Source organism: Homo sapiens, chromosome 10 (assembly GCF_000001405.40).
Source record: "Homo sapiens chromosome 10, GRCh38.p14 Primary Assembly".
Lineage (NCBI taxonomy): Eukaryota > Metazoa > Chordata > Mammalia > Primates > Hominidae > Homo > Homo sapiens.
Genome location: NC_000010.11, coordinates 44,590,998 through 44,607,203, shown reverse-complemented (window position 1 = coordinate 44,607,203; position 16,206 = coordinate 44,590,998). Strand labels below are relative to the sequence as shown.

The window sequence follows — 16,206 nt, the reverse complement described above, 5'->3', positions numbered from 1 at the left end:
AATAAATTCCATGTGTGTGTGACTGAGAGGGTGATAGCTCCCTTCCTCCACCAAGACTGCACTCACAAGATAGAGGCCCTATCCCAGGCAGAGGAGATGAACACTGGAGTCCCATACTACACTCATCCAGCAGGCTCAAAGGCAACACTTTCACACTGGGAGAGGCAAAACTGAGAAGACCAGAAACCAGTACCCAGCGCCCTGCCTCTGAAGCAGGGTGTCATTCAGAGAGAAGGGTGACATTGTGCTTGTTCCCAGCTCCAGGGCATTGATTCAAAAATGGTTTTCCAGGGGATGGTAGACCATAAGAACAGAGATCTCTGAAGCTTTCTTCAAAGGAAATGAAATTATTTTGGAGCTGAGTGTGGAGAAGCTAAGGCAATTGAGTAGAGGGTGATGGCTCCATACAGCAACAAGCTAAACCATACACCAACTAGTTCATCAAACTGGGAAACAGGCAGACAAGAGAAGGCCCCCAGGAGTCAAAAGAAACCTCAAAAACTACCCCTGTAAAGGGGCCCAAAATAATTAAATCAGACTATGAAGCGATTTATACCCCAGACATTGTTGAGAACAATAGAGAAATTAACCTGCAATTAGTGAAGGCTAACTGCTGAGTGTGATACTAACAGAGGCAGACAACTTAGCACACAGGAGCCAACAGGAGCCCTACTAAAATCTATTATCCCACAGGGTCTGTGTGTATCCCCAGACTTCACTCTCTAAGAAACATCATAGGTTTCACACTGTGAGGAACATAGACTTTACTGAAACAACCAAGTCACTAAACAGATAAGCAATAACAACGGTCCTGGGAGAGGGATAGGTGAGTATCCAGAGGGCTTCAATGGCAAATCAAACACGTATTTAAATAAGAAATAATGTTTTACTCAACACACAAATTCCTCTACAAAATAGAGGAGGCAGGAACACTTCCCAACTTATTTTATGAGACTATTATTATCCTTTTACAAAAGCTGGACAAAGATATCACAAGAAAAGAATGTTGCATACCAATTCCCTCATGAACACAGCACAAAACTTCTTGAAAAATATTAGCAAGCCAAATTGAGGACATACAAAAGACCATTATACACCATGGCCATGAAGGATGTATCCCAAATGGCAAGACTGATCGAACATCCAAACATTAAGTAATGTTATAAACTGTATTAATAGAATGGAAGGAAAAACCACACCTGATTATCTCAATAGTCGCAGAAAACACATTTGACATTATGCAACACTGATTTATGACCAAAACCCTCAACAAACTTGGAAAAGAAGAAAACTTTCTCAACCTGATAAAGGGCATCTGTGCAAAACCTAAAGAGGACATTATACTTAATGGTGAAAGACTGAAAGCTTTCACTCTGATACTAGGAACAAAGACAGGTTGGCAACTCTCACCTCTTCTATTCAACAATGTACTGGAGTTTCTATACAGGGGAATTACGCAGGGAAAAGAAACAGAAGGCATTCGTATTGGAAAGGAAGAACTAATAATGTTCTTCTACATACAAGATGATGTATGTATGTAGAAAAATCCTAAGAAATTCACAAACACACACATACACATACAGAAACATGTAGAACTGTACTTTTACAAGGAAAGCATGGTTGAAAGATACAATATCAATTTACAAAAATTAGCTGTATTCCTCCAATACATAAGTAAATATAAAATTAAGAATACAATTTGTAATGTTGACTTGCATTATTTCTTGGCTCATCTCTAGGTTCACTAAATAAGTGCAGTCAAAATTCAAAAACAAAAGAATATAATTTGTTTCACAATAAAATAAAAAAGAATAAAATACTTAAAAATCTGCTTACCAAAAGAATATTATATTATATTTTTACATTTAAAAATTGCAACTTATTTTTAAGGAAAATTATAGAAGAACCAAATAAATAGAAAAATATCCCATGTTTATAGATAGGAAGAGTCAATATTGTTAAGATGGCAATTCTTCACAAATTGATCTACAGGAAATTCATATCAAAATTCCAGCAGGCTTTGGCAGAAACTTACAATTAGATCTTGAAATGTATATAACAATGTGAAAACCTAGAATACCCGAAATAATTTTGAAAGATAATGAAGTTGAAGTGATAGTAATCACTTCTTGATTTGCAAACTTACTGGTACAGTTATCAAGACAGTGTGATACTGGCATAAGGCTAGGAATATAGATCAATAGACAAAAATTAAAAGTGTATCAATAAATCCCTGTATTATTAAAATGTACACTTGAAATTGATGAATTATATGATATGTAAAATATATCTCAATTAGATTAACTAAAAAGAAAATAGAGGTTGACCTATTCTCACTAAAACTGCAGTCTTGCCCTGACACAGCACAATTTATGATTAGAGTGAAGTGATCATTTGTTCATATTGTCTGTCTAACTGAGGAAAAAATGAACATTCTGAGGAAAATGATCAATTTTATTCTCTAACATTATTTTATATACAACTTCTGGCATAAATTTTTTTAAAAGGAGACAGATGAATAGGAGAAAAATATGACTGATAATCATAATAAAAATCAAGAACAATGAAATAGCTATTATAAATATAAAAAGAAAATAAAATTGAACAAAATGGATGAAAGATGGGAAGTCTAAAAGAACATTTTAATATATAAGATAATCAAATTGTCATTATAAAAATTCAAGACATAATATCTAAACTTAAGAATTCATTGAGTCCATGTCAGAGCAGGCTGGGCAGAGCAGAAGACAGAAATAATGAAGTAAAAAACACGTAAATAGAAAACATCCACACTGAAATAGAAAGAAGAAAAAAGATTGAAAATAGAGAACAGAATATAAGAGACATTAGGAAAGCTTTCAGGTGGTCTAATATGTATTTAATTTAAGTTCAGAAGGTGTGGAGAGAGAACAGGCAAAAACAAGACACGAACTAAAATTTTCAAAATCTGGTATAAGATATCAGACTACAGATTTAAGACATTTAAGACAAAGCGTAAGCAGTTTCAAAAAGGAAAAGGAAAAAAGAAAGCCAACAACTAGGTAAATCAAGCTTTCCCAGATACAGGGCGAAAAAATAGTCAAGCTTTGGATAACCACAGATACAGGGTGAAACAAAAAATTTTAAGCAGCCAGGAGAAAGGTTACATTTATTACTTGCAAAGGGCCAATATTAAGATTGGCAAATCCTAATATTTTCAAGTGAATGCATTTGCCACAAGACAGGGGAAAACCATCTTTAAAAGAATGCGGGGTGTGTATGGGGGGAGGTGACTACTAAGTAAGACAGGTATACTCAGTGAAAACAAGCTCCACAAATGAAAGGTAAATAAAGATATTTCCATGTGAACAAAACCTGGCAGAATTTGTTACCATGAAATCTGTAATAAGTGAAATATTAAAGAAAATATTTCAGTCTGGAGGAAAATGGTCTCAGATGGAAGTGCTAAAAAGGATAAAGGTTGCCAGAAATAGTAAAATGGGGGAAAACACAAAAGAATACTGACTAAAATAATGACAATAACAGTGTCCTGTGGGGTCCATCACATTTGTGAAGTAAAATACATGACAACAATAGCACAAAGAGTGGAGGAAATATATATATATAACAGTTATAAAGTTGTGCGTTATTTTCAACACAATAAAATTACCAATTTAAGGTAGATTACAATATTTCAAGGATGTGTATTAAAATATTCATAATAATCACTAAAAGAGCAAAGCAACAAATATAAAACTAGAAATCTGGTAAAGGAGATGAAATAAAATATGAAAAAACTTGATTCATCCAATAGAAGTCTGGAAAGTAGAGTCAAATAAAAAAGTATGGATACAATAATTAGAAAGCAAATGCCAAAACGAAAGCCCTACACCCAATTATATCAGTGATGATGTTAAATGTAAATGATCTATGCACTTCAATTAAAAGGCAGAAATTTTCAGACTGGATTTAAAAAAAAAAAAAACAAGTATACGCCCTTTAAAAGAGGCATTTTTTAAATATGAGAGACAGATAGGTTAAAATTAAACGGCCCAAGGAAAATTATTGCATATATCAATCAGAGGACTTGCATAAGAATGTTTGCAGCAGCTTTAAATACATAAAGTAGTCTAAATCTGGAAATGACTCAGAACATATCACTGCTACATGCAATACGTGAATAAATCTCACAGGCACCATATTGAGAAAATGGAACTAGGCAAAGCAATGTACATCTTCTATAATTTTATTTATATGATGGTTAACAAGAGTTAAAACTAATCAATGGTGATTGAAATTAGAATAGGTGTTATCTCTGAAGGAAGGAGTATATGGTCTGGGGAATGCACAATGAAAATGCACAATGAAAAGTTAGAGGATAAATGTTCTAAGAGGTCTGGGAAGTGGATATATATATATATATTCACATATATATGTGGATATATATGTGGATATATATGTGGATATATATATTCACATATATATGTGGATATATATGTGGATATATATATCCACATATATATGTGGATATATATGTGGATATATATATACTTATATATATATGAATTTATTGAGCTGTACTTTTAGGATCATTTCCCTTTACTCATTGAAATGTATGTATGTTAGACCTCACTTAAGGAGAAGGAACAAAAACAAGCAAATGCATGAATGCGACCAAAGTGCTTACATGGATTCCTAAATTTCCATTGCTAGAAACTTAGGTTGTAGTCAATTTTTCACTACAACAAAAATATTTTTAGAAGGAAAATGACACCACATTTATTAATCTTAAAAAATAAGAATAAATGATTGTCCATATAATAATGATAAAGATAGCAAAGTAATGATAAAGATAGTCTACTTAATAGGGGCTGCCTCCATCCAGTTATGCAACTCCACTTCCACCTGCTCCCTGTCAATTTTTTTTCCAAAGAGAGCTTTAAATTTCCAAATCCAAATACATAGGAATGAGAAGGCCAAAACAAATTTGTTGCCAATTTCTGAGAATAAAAGGAGGAAGTCACTTCCCATCTGCCCACATTTCTAATGTCCATCCCTTCCTTCTAGGATACAGTCTGAGGGCATCCCTGTTTAACGCACAGAGGAGAAAACCCAGCCAGGTAACTGAGTGTATGACTTGGTCCAATGAAGGTAAGCCTGACGAGGCAGAACCAGTCCACTGTCACAGAGTCACAGATGGCCAGCCCGGAAGGAAAGAGCCGCTGGTTACGAGGTGTGCAGAGACAAGCTAGTATCCCAACACATCCGTCCTGTGGTGCGTGTGCACATCTGGCACCAATTCCCTCACTTCCCTGTCCAGAGAGGCCTGTGTGCGTGCGTGTGTGTGTTTGTGTGTAAGAGCCCTCTAAGCAGGTGAGAACTTCCAGTAAGCAAGGCATACAGGACAGATGTCGGCCAACTCGGACAAGTTAAAGAGGAGGCGGCTAATAAATGTGCTTTCCCAGGGCCACCTCTGGAAGGAAGAGGTCAAGTCACATCAAGATGTTCCTCTTTGCTTTTCACAAGCAAGTCATGTCAATGTTTTAAAAGAGGTTTGGGAGATGAACTTCTGACCCAAATTTGTGCAGACAGGTGAACCTGTCTTCAATTAGTGCTCAATTGCTTCTTCCTGAGATTCTCCAATTTTGCCTCTTCCTCACGGTCCTTTTAAAGAACCTAATATCAGGCCGGGCGCGGTGGCTCACGCCTGTAATCCCAGCACTTTGGGAGGCTGAGGCGGGCGGATCACGAGGGCAGGAGATCGTAGACCATCCTGGCTAACATGGTGAAACCCCGTCTCTACTAAAAAATACAAAAAATTAGCCAGGCGTGGTGGTGGGCGCCTGTAGTCCCAGCTACTCGGGAGGCTGAGGCAGGAGAATGGCATGAACCCGGGAGGCGGAGCTTGCAGTGAACCGAGATCGCGCCATTGCACCTCCGGCCTGGGTGGAGACTCCGTCACAAAAAAATAAAAAACCTAATATCAATGTGTCATCTCTGATTTGTGCCAGCTTAGGCCTCACGCCGTATGTACCACGTGCTTTTGGCAGTCTCTGCAGTGCCTGGTATTGCCCTTACCTCCCTTGCTTCATCCTTCCCTCTGCCCCACCCTTTTTCCCTCCTCTCCCTGCAGGTGCCCTAACTCTTTGCCAGCCCACATGTCATTATCCAGTGTCTCAGGTACCTTCTGCCTTCTTATGGCTTTCTCAGGGCTTTCTTCCATTTCTCGTGGTTCTCCAGGGTCTTTGGGCTCCATGGAGGAGGAGGACGCTCGGTCTCCCTTGTCCAGGCAATCCTGCACAAGAGCCTGTGAGCCAACATACTTCCTGAAGGTACATCCTTCAGTGTGTATTGCCCTCTAGAATTTTCCAGACAGGCGTAGCTGTGCTATGGGACAGAGTTTGAGCATTTCTGTTCAGTTAAAACACCATCTAATCTCATCACAATATCACCCGACTCCTAACAGGAAAGACGTCTGTTAGTGGGAGGCCACCTTTGATTGAGTGTGAAAGGAATAAGCAAGGACAGGCTGGCATGGAGTAAAAGCTACACTGTCCCAGGCTGTGCGCCATCCTTCGGCACTCACCGTGAGCTCTAGGCCCTTGCCTTTGACGTTTCACACCCCTGTGGATCGGGGCCCTTACTATACTGTGAGAATAATATGCCATGATCATTATATGAATAATAAGCGGCATTTCTAATGCCAGAAAACACAGAACTGAGTAGTGACCTGGCCATGCTACATTCATGCAATGGTGAACATTTCCAGTCTGTTGGCCTCATTTTCGACCTCTACAAAAATGTAAATATTAGAAGGATCTTAGAAGTTTATGAATTCTCCTTCAATATGTATCTTTCTATGAATCAGAGTCCTAGGAAGGAACCATAAGCATTTTTTTAAATTTTACTTTAAGTTCAGAGATACATGTGCAGAATGTGCAGGTGTGTTACATAGGTATACATGTGCCATGGTGGTTTGCTGCATCTATCAACCCGTCATCTAGATTTTAAGCCCCGAATGCATTAGATATTGTCCCAATGCTCTCCCTCCCCTCGCCCCACACCCCTTGACAGGCCCCCGTGTGTGTTGTTCCCCTACCTGTGTCCATGTGTTCTCATTGTTCAATTCCCATTTATGAGTGAGAACATGCAGTATTTGGTTATCTGCTCCTGTGTTAGTTTGCTGAGGATGATGGCTTCCAGCTTCATTCGTGTCCTGGAAAAGGACATGTTCTCATTCTTTTTACGACTGCATAGTATTGCATGATATATATGTACCAGATTTTCTTTATCCAGTCTATTATTGATGAGCATTTGGGTTGATTCCATGTCATTGCTATTGTAAATAGTGCTGTAGTAAACATAGGTGCACCTGTGTCTTTACAGTAGACTGATTTATATTCCTTTGGGTATATACCCAGTAATGGGATTGCTGGATCAAATGATATTTCTGGTTCTAGATCCTTGAGGAATCACCACGCCGTCTTCCACAATGTTTGAACTAATTTATATTCCTACCAACATCGTAAGTGTTCCAATTTCTCCAAAGCCTCACCAGCATCTATTTTTTCCTAACTTTTTAATAATCGTCACTCTGACTAGCGTGAAATGGTATCTCATTGTGGTTTTGATTTGCATTTCTCTAATGATCAGTGATGATGAGCTTTTTTCATATGTTTTTTAGTCACATAAATGTCTTCTTTTGAGAAGTATCTCTTCATATATTTTGCCCACTTTTTGATGGGGTTGTTTTTTTCTTGTACATTTGTTTAAGTTCCTTGCAGATTCTGGATATTAGACCTTTGTCAGATGGGTAGATTGCAAACATTTTCTCCCACTCCGTAGGTTGCCTGTTCACTCTGATGGTAGTTTCTTTTGCTGTGCAGAAGCTCTTTAGTTTAATTAGATCCCATTTGTCAATTTTGGCTTCTGTTGCAATTGCCTTTGGTGTTTTACTCATGAAGTATATGCCCATGCCTATGTCCTGAATGGTATAGCCTAGGTTTTCTTCTAGGACTTTTATAGTTTTGGGTTTTACATTTAAGTCTTTAATCCATCTTGAATTAATTTCTATGTAAGGTATAAGGAAGGGGTCCAGTTTCAGTTTTCTGCATATGGCTAGGAAGCTTTCCCAGCACCATTTATTAAATAGGGAATCTTTCCCCATTGCTTGCTTTTGTCAGGTTTGTCAAAGATAAGATTGTTGTAGATGTGTGGTGTTATATCTGAGGTCTCCCTTCCATTCCATTGGTCTATATATCTGTTTTGGTACCAGTACCATGCTGTTTTGGTTACTACAGCCTTGTAGAATTGTTTGAAGTCAGGTAGTGTGATGCCTCCAGCTTTGTTCTTTTTGCTTAGGATTGTCTTGGCTATACGGGCTCTTTTTTGGTTCCATATGAAATTTAAAGTAGTTTCTTCTAATTTTGTGAAAATGTCAATGGTAGTTTGGTGGGAATAGCACTGAATCTATAAATTACTTTGGGCAGTATGACCGTTTTCACGATATTGATTCTTCCTATCCATGAGCATGAAATGTTTTTCCATTTGTTTGTGTCCTCTCTTATTTCCTTGAACAGTGGTTTATAGTGCTCCTTGAAGAGGTCCTTCATATCCCTTGTAAGCTGTATTCCTAGGTATTTTATTGTCTTTGTAGCAATTGTGAATAGGAGTTCATTCATGATTTGGCTCTCTGCTTGTCTGTGGGAATGCTTGTGATTTTTGCACATTAATTTTGTATCCTGAGACTTTGCTGAAGTTGCTTATCAGCTTAAGGAATTTTAGGGCTGAGAAAATGGGGTTTTCTAAATATAGAATCTTGTCATCTGCAAACAGAGACATTTTTACTTTCTCTCTTCATATTTGAATATGCTTTATTTCTTTCTTTTGCCTGATTGCCCTGGCCAAGACTTCCAATACTATGTTAAATAGAAGTGGTGAGAGAGGGCATCCTTGTCTTGTGCCGGTTTTCAAAGGGAATGCTTCCAGCATTTGCCCATTCAGTGTGATACTGGCTATAGGTTTGTCATACATAGCTCTTATTATTTTGAGATATGTTCCATCAATACCTAGTTTATTAAGAGTTTTTCGCATGAAGGGATTTTGAATTCTACTGAAGGCCTTTTCTGCATCTATTGAGATAATCATGTGGTTTTTGTCATTGGTTCTCTTTATATGATAGGTTAAATTTATTAATTTGTGTATTTTGAACCAGCTTTGAATCCCAGGGATGAAGCTGACTTGATTGTGGTGGATAAGCTATTTGATATACTGCTGGATTTGGTTTGCCAGTATTTTATTGAGGATTTTCATATTGAAGTTCAGCAGGGATATTGACCTAAAGTTTTCCTTTCAGTGGTTTCTCTGCCAGGTTTTGGTATCAGGATGATGCTGGCTTCATAAAATAAGTTAGGGAGGAGTCCACCCTTTTCAGTTGTTTAAAATAGTTTCATAAGGAATGATACCAGCTCCTCTTTGTACCTCTGGTAGAATTTGGCTGTGAATCCATCTGCTCCTGGGTTTTTATTGGTTGGTAGGCTATTAATTATTGCCTGAATTTTAGAACTTGCTATTGGTCTATTCAGGGATTCGATTTCTTCCTGGTTTAGTCTCGGGAGGGTGTATGTGTCCAGGAATTTATCCATTTCTTCTAGATTTTCTATTTTATTTGTGTAGAGGTGTTTATAGTATTCTCTGATGGTAGTTTGTATTTCTGTGGGATCAGTGGTGATATCCCTTTTATCATTTTTTATTGTGTCTATTTGATTCTTCTCTTTTTTCTTCTTTATTATTCTAGCTAGTAGTCTATGTATTTTGTTAATTTTTTCAAAAAACGAGCTCCTGATTTCATTAATATTTTGAAGGGATTTTCATGTCTCTATCTCTTTCAGTCCTGCTCTGACCTTAGTTATTTCTTGTCTTCTGCTAGCTTTTGAATTTGTTTGCTCTTCCTCCTCTAGTTCTTTTCATTGTGATGTTAGGGTGTCGATTTGAGATTTTTCCAGCTTTCTGATGTGGGCATTTAGTGCTATAAATTTCCCCCTTCACACTGCTTTAGCTGTGTCCCCAAGATGCTGGTACATTGTCTCTTTGTTCTCATTGGTTTCAAAGAACTTCTTGATTTCTGCCTTGATTTTGTCATTTACCCAGGAGTCATTCAGGAGCAGTTTGTTTAATTTCCCTGTAGTTGTGCAGTTTTGAGTGAGTTTCTTTATCCTGAGTTCTAATTTAATTGCAGTGTCATTGGAGAGACTGTTTATTATTATTTCAGTTCTTTTGTGTTTGCTGAGGAGTGTTTTACTTCCAACTATGTGGCCAGTTTTAGAATAAGTGCCATGTGGCACTGAGAAGAATGTATACTCTATTTATCTGAGGTGGACAGTTCTGCAGATATCTATTAGGTCCACTTGATCCAGAGCTGAGTTCAAGTATTGAATATCCTTATTAATTTTCTGTCTCATTGATCTGTCTAATATTGACAGTGGGGTGTTAAAATCTCCCATTATTATTGTGTGGGAGTCTGCCTCTTTGTAGGTCTCTAAGAACTTGTTTTATGAATCTTGGTGCTCCTGCATTGGGTGCATATATATTTAGCATAGTTAGCTCTTCTTGTTGCATTGATCTCTTTACCATTATGTAATGCCCTTCTTTGTCTTTTTTCGATCTTTGTTGGTTTAAAGTCTGTTTTGTTAGAGAGTAGAATTGCAAGCCCTGCTTTTTTTTTTGCTTTCCATTCGCTTGGTAAATATTCTTTCATCCCTTTATTTTGAGCTTATGTGTGTCTTTGCACATGAGATGGATCTCCTGAATACAGCACACTGATGGGTCTTGACTCTTTATCCAATTTACCAGTCTGTGTCTTTTAATTGGGGCATTTAGCCCATTTACTTTTAAGGTTAATATTGTTATGTGTGAATTTGATCCTATCATTATGATGCTACTGGTTATTTTGCACACGAGTTGATGCAGTTTCTTCATAGTGTCACTGATCTTTATATTTTGATGTGTTTTTGCAATGTCCAGTATGTTTTTTCTTTCCATATTTAGTGCTTCCTTCAGGATCTCTTGTAAGGCAGGCCTGGTGGTGACAAAATCCCTTAGCATTTGCTTATCTGTAAAGTATTTTATTCCTTCTTTGCTTATGAAGCTTAGTTTGGCTGGATATGAAATTCTGGGTTGAAAATTCTTTTCTTTAAGAATGTTGAATATTGGCCCTCCGCTCTCTTCTGGCTCATAGGGTTTCTGCAGAGAGATCCACTCGTAGGGTTTCTGCAGAGAGATCTGCAGAGATAGTCTGATGGGCTTCTCTTTGTAGGTGACCTTACCTTTTTCTCTGGCTGTCCTTAACATTTTTTCTTTCATTTCAACCTTGGGGAATCTGATGATTATGTGTTTTGGGGTTGATCTTCTTGTGGAGTATCTTAGCGGTGTTCCGAATTTGAATGTTGAATTTGAATTTGAATGTCAGCTTGTGTTGCTAGGTTGGGGAAGTTCTCCTCGATAATATCCTGAAGTGTGTTTTCCAACTTGGTTCCACTCTCCCCATCACTTTCAGGTACACCAGTCAATTATAGGTTTGTTCTTTTCACATAGACCCATATTTCCTGGTAGCTTGTTCATTCCTTTTTATTTTTTTCTCTAATCTTGTCTGCGTGTCTTATGTCAGCAAGGTGGTCTTCAATCTCTTATATCCTTTCTTCCACTTGATCAATTCAGCTATTGATACTTGTGTATGCTTCAGGAAGTTCTTATGCCGTGTTTTTCAGCCCCATCAGGTCATTTATGTTCCTCTCTAAACTGGTTATTCTAGTTAGCACTTTCTGTAACCCTTTATCGAGGTTCTTAGCTTCCTTGCATTGGGTTAGAACATGCTCCTTTAGCTAGGAGGAGTCTTTTATTACCCACCTTCTGAAGCCTACTTCTGTCAATTTGTCAATCTTGTTCTCCATCCAGTTTTGTGTCCTTGCTGGAGAGGAGTTGCAATCATTTGGAGGAGAAGAGGCATTCCGGCTTTTGGAATTTTCAGCATTTTTGCGTTGGTTTTTCCTCATCTTCATGGATTTATCTACCTTTGATCTTTGAGGCTGATGACCTTTGGATGGGGCTTTTGTGTGGGGGTCTTTTTTGTTGATGTTGATGTTGTTGCTTTCTGTTTGTTATTTTGTCTTCTAACAGTCAGGCCCCTCTTCTACAGGTCAGCTACAGTTTGCTAGAGGTCCACAGTAGACCCCGTTTGCCTGGGTATCACCAGTGGAGGCTGCAGAACAGCAAAGATTGCTCCTTGCCCCTTCCTCTGGAAGCTTCATCTCAGCAGGGCACTGACATGATGCCAGCTGGAACTCTCCTATATGAGGTGTCTGGAGACCCCTGTTGGGAGGTCTCACCCAATCAGGAGGCACGGGGTCAGGGACCCACCCAAGGAAGCAGTCTGACTGTTCCTTAGAGGAGCTGGCATGCTGTGCTGAAGGAATCTCTCTCATCCAGATTACCTAGACTCTCCAGAGCCAGCAGGCAGGAAAGATTAAGTCTGCAGAACCTGAGACCATGCTGCCCCTCACCTCAGGTTCTCTGTCCCAGGGAGATGAGAGTTTTATCTGTAAGCCCCTGAGTAGCTGCTGGATTTCCTGAAGAGATGCCCTTCCCAGTGAGGAGGAATCTAGAGAAGCAGTCTGGCCACAGCCACTTTGCCATGCTTTGGTGAATTCTGCCCAGTCCAAACCTCCCAGCCTCCTTAGCACTGTCAGGGGAAAATCGCCTACTAAAGCCACAGTAATGGTTGTCACCCCTCCCCCCACCAAGCTCAGACATCCCAGGTCAGCTCCAGACTGCTGTGCTGGCAGTGAGAATTTCAAGGCAGTGGTTCTTAGCTTGCTGGGCTCTGTGGAAGTGGGACCCGCTGAGTGAGACCACTTGACTTCCTGGATTCAGCCCCCTTTCCAGGGGAGTGGAGAATTATCCTGTCTCATTGGAGTTCCAGGTGCTGCTGGATTACGAAAAACCTCCTGCAGCTTGGTGCCTGCCCAAACAGCTGCCCAGTTTTGTCCTTGAAACCCGGGTCCCTGGTGGTGTAGGCTCATGAGGGAAACTCCTGATCCAAGGATTGCAAAAATCCATGGGAAAAGCATAGTACCCTGGGCAGGTGGCACAGTCCCTCACCGCTTCCCTTGGCTAGGGGAGGGAGATCCTCCGGCTCCGTGCACTTTTGGGTGAAGCAACGTCCCACTCTGCTTCTGCTCACTGTCTGTGGGTTGTACCCACCACCTAACCAGTCCCAATGAGATGAACTGAGTACCTCAGTTGGAAATGCAGAAATCGCCTGCCTTCTGCATTGGTCTTGCTGGGAGCTACAGAACGGAGCTGTTTCTATTCAGCCATCTTGACCCCTCCTGCCAAGCATCGTTTATTTAAAACATTTTTTATAGTTTTATGGTGCTGACACACAGGATATGCCTGAAATTTTGTAAAATAAATAACAATGTTCAAGCAAATAACACATTTATAAACCTGCCCCAAAGATGCAATAAATAACAGTCCTGGAAAGAAGTAACTATTCTCAGAGTTCCCAGGGCCCAGAAGGGTACACAACCAACCAGCCCAGGGACACCAAGGCTCTGTCTCTATCCCACAAACAAAACCTGCGATGCTGCATTGAGGTCACTGCCCAGCACCACCTGCCCGGCCTCCAGGTTCAAGCCCCAGGAAAGTCAGAATAGAAGAAAATAGAAGTGAGCAGTAAGCAGTAAGAACTTACTTTTATAGATAGTTTAATTTCTATGAAAATGTTCATTATATTTTTGGATAACTAAATATATATGAGTAAGTCAAAGGAAAGATAAGGAGACCTCCCTTCCTGCTTCTTTCCCTCCCTCTCTTTCGTCCTTCCTCACTCCCTCCCTTCCTCTCTCTTTCTCCCTCTCCTGAACTGTGCCAAGGTAGCATCTCCTTTAGCACATCTTCTGGTAAGATCTGATATAGTTCTCTTTACTGGGATGTAGGTGAGGTGATGTTAAAATTGGGACTCAGGGGCAATGGGACCCCATAGCTCTCTGCTCTCCCTTGTCACCCTCTAACAGCCCCTGGAGGAGCTGACCCAGCCTCTAGCATAGCCTTCTCTATGAAGTGACCATGAAACCCATCTTCCAACCTGCCCCTCGAGTCCCTCCAATGCCACATTACAGAGGCCCGTACGACTTGGATGACATTTTACCAAACTCAGCATGCCCAGATTGACTATCTTTTCCTTCCAACTCTCCAATATCTGTGGGATCTGGCTCTATCATTTTCCCTTAGAAAGGTTTCACATGTCTGGTCCTTATTCTTTATCCACACCATTGTCTCCTAGAATCGCATAATGGGGAAGGGATCTCAAGGGCTACTTGGCCTCATCCCCACCATCACATCCCCTAGGTGTTCCTGCAGGAGTATGGAAGGCACGGTCTGCTGCTGGGACCCCAGGGTCATACATGTTAGCTGGAGTCACCTCCCGCCTTCATGATCTTCATGCCTTCTGCCTTCTGGGACCCATAAAACAAAACAAATCACTCCTGCACAGGACAGCCCAAATAAATTTAAAGCATGGCTGTGTCATCTCTGGGCCATTTCTCGGCACTATTCAATTCTGCATATGACATTTATCCCTCCACTCCCAGGTCAGCCCCCTCTGCACACACACTCAACATGAAGACCCTGATTCTAGTGTGGTCTTTGGGTATAAAGCCCTAGGAGGTCATCTCCTTCCTAAACATTCCAGGCTCCCTGGCCAGAGGTCTGAAGCTGGTCTCAGGGAAGCAGGTGGGTGTGCAGCAATACTGCCCTCTCTGTGGCTCTCAAAGGCATCTAGAGCAACTTGAATCACTACTGACTAGGTCCAGGCTGTTTATTTTATAATGTTAAATCATTATGTGCAGGCCAGTAATATTGTCTGAGAATTACTTGAGAATTCTACAATATAGCTGGGCTTTAATTTTTAAAGTAGAGTAACTCACAAAATTAGTATATGATCCCACACTACATGTGGTTAATTTGTCAGCTTGGCTATGTTGTGGTACCCAAGTATGGGATTAAACATCAGTCTGGATGTTGCTGTGAAGATTTTTTTTAGAGGAGAAATGACCTCACTCCCTTGCTGAATACTTCCTTCCATTGTACTCTTATCAATATGATAACTTTTTCCTGTTACTTCCAAATCCCACGTGATCAAGGTCTTTTCATTTTCTGCTCTTTCTGGAAAATTCTACTAGATATTTGCAAGTTGGCTCCTTCCCTTTCTACAGTTCTTAGCTTCAAGTTCACTTCCTTAGGTCTTCCCTTGACCACTGTCTCTAAAGTGACCATCACACCACCTACCCGAATTATAATTCTTTGCTTAGACTTCTCCTCATTTTCTGATAGATTGATTGCTGTGGTTCCCACACTCATTTTGCTTGTACTTTCATCTACAGAACTCCATTAGGGTGGATGGAGAGGAAGAGACTAAGGATTCACACATCACGAAGACATTTGTGGAAGACGGAGTGTGTTTCCATTATCCTTTCAGAGTTTGCAAACGAGGCGGTGCCCAGCATAGACAGGTTCTCTGCCCACCCATCCTGAATCCACAAGGCCACAGATGCAGAAAGGATATTTAATAAAGTTCAACACTGAGTCCTGACAAACACTGCAAGAAAGCTCAAACGGAAAGGAAGTTCCTTACTGTGATTGAGAATATATCATACTTCTGGTATGCTACTGAAAGCTTCTGAGGTTGGGGATAAGACAAGGGCTCTGTCTGTCACCATTTCTCTTGAACCTTACAATGGAATTTGGCACTATGGGAGTTGCAAATCAACACAGTGGCCACTCAAGGAGAAGCAAGGGGTGGCTGGAAGGAGAGGTGCCCCTGGAGTTCTGTAAAATCTGCTTCTTGATGTGCCTTTGAGTGTTCTCTTTGTGTAAATTCTTTGAACTGCACTCTTATGATTTGTGCATATTTCCCTATGAAAATTATACCTCAATAAAATATTGACTTAAATAACAGAAGCAATCTGGATGTCCATCACTGGGGGAATGGATAAATCAAAATATATTTCTATTGTGATAATTTGTCCAACAGTTTGAAAAGAATAAGAGTGATCTCTATATCTTAACTTGGAAAAAACCTCCAAGACATAATAGTACGTGAGAAAGGAGAGTTGTCTTATATTCTCATTTGTGGATATGTGTGAATATTAAACATTTTTTAAAAGACTT

At 39.8% G+C, this 16,206-nt stretch overlaps 1 long non-coding RNA gene across 1 annotated transcript; it reads left to right on the top strand.

The window, feature by feature from the left end:
- The first annotated feature begins 5,046 nt into the window (after positions 1 to 5,046).
- On the top strand, positions 5,047 to 15,993 carry LOC124902534 (uncharacterized). Its single transcript, XR_007062358.1, has 2 exons — positions 5,047 to 5,212; positions 15,420 to 15,993. It is a non-coding gene; the product is annotated as an uncharacterized LOC124902534 (long non-coding RNA).
- The last annotated feature ends 213 nt before the right edge of the window (positions 15,994 to 16,206 follow it).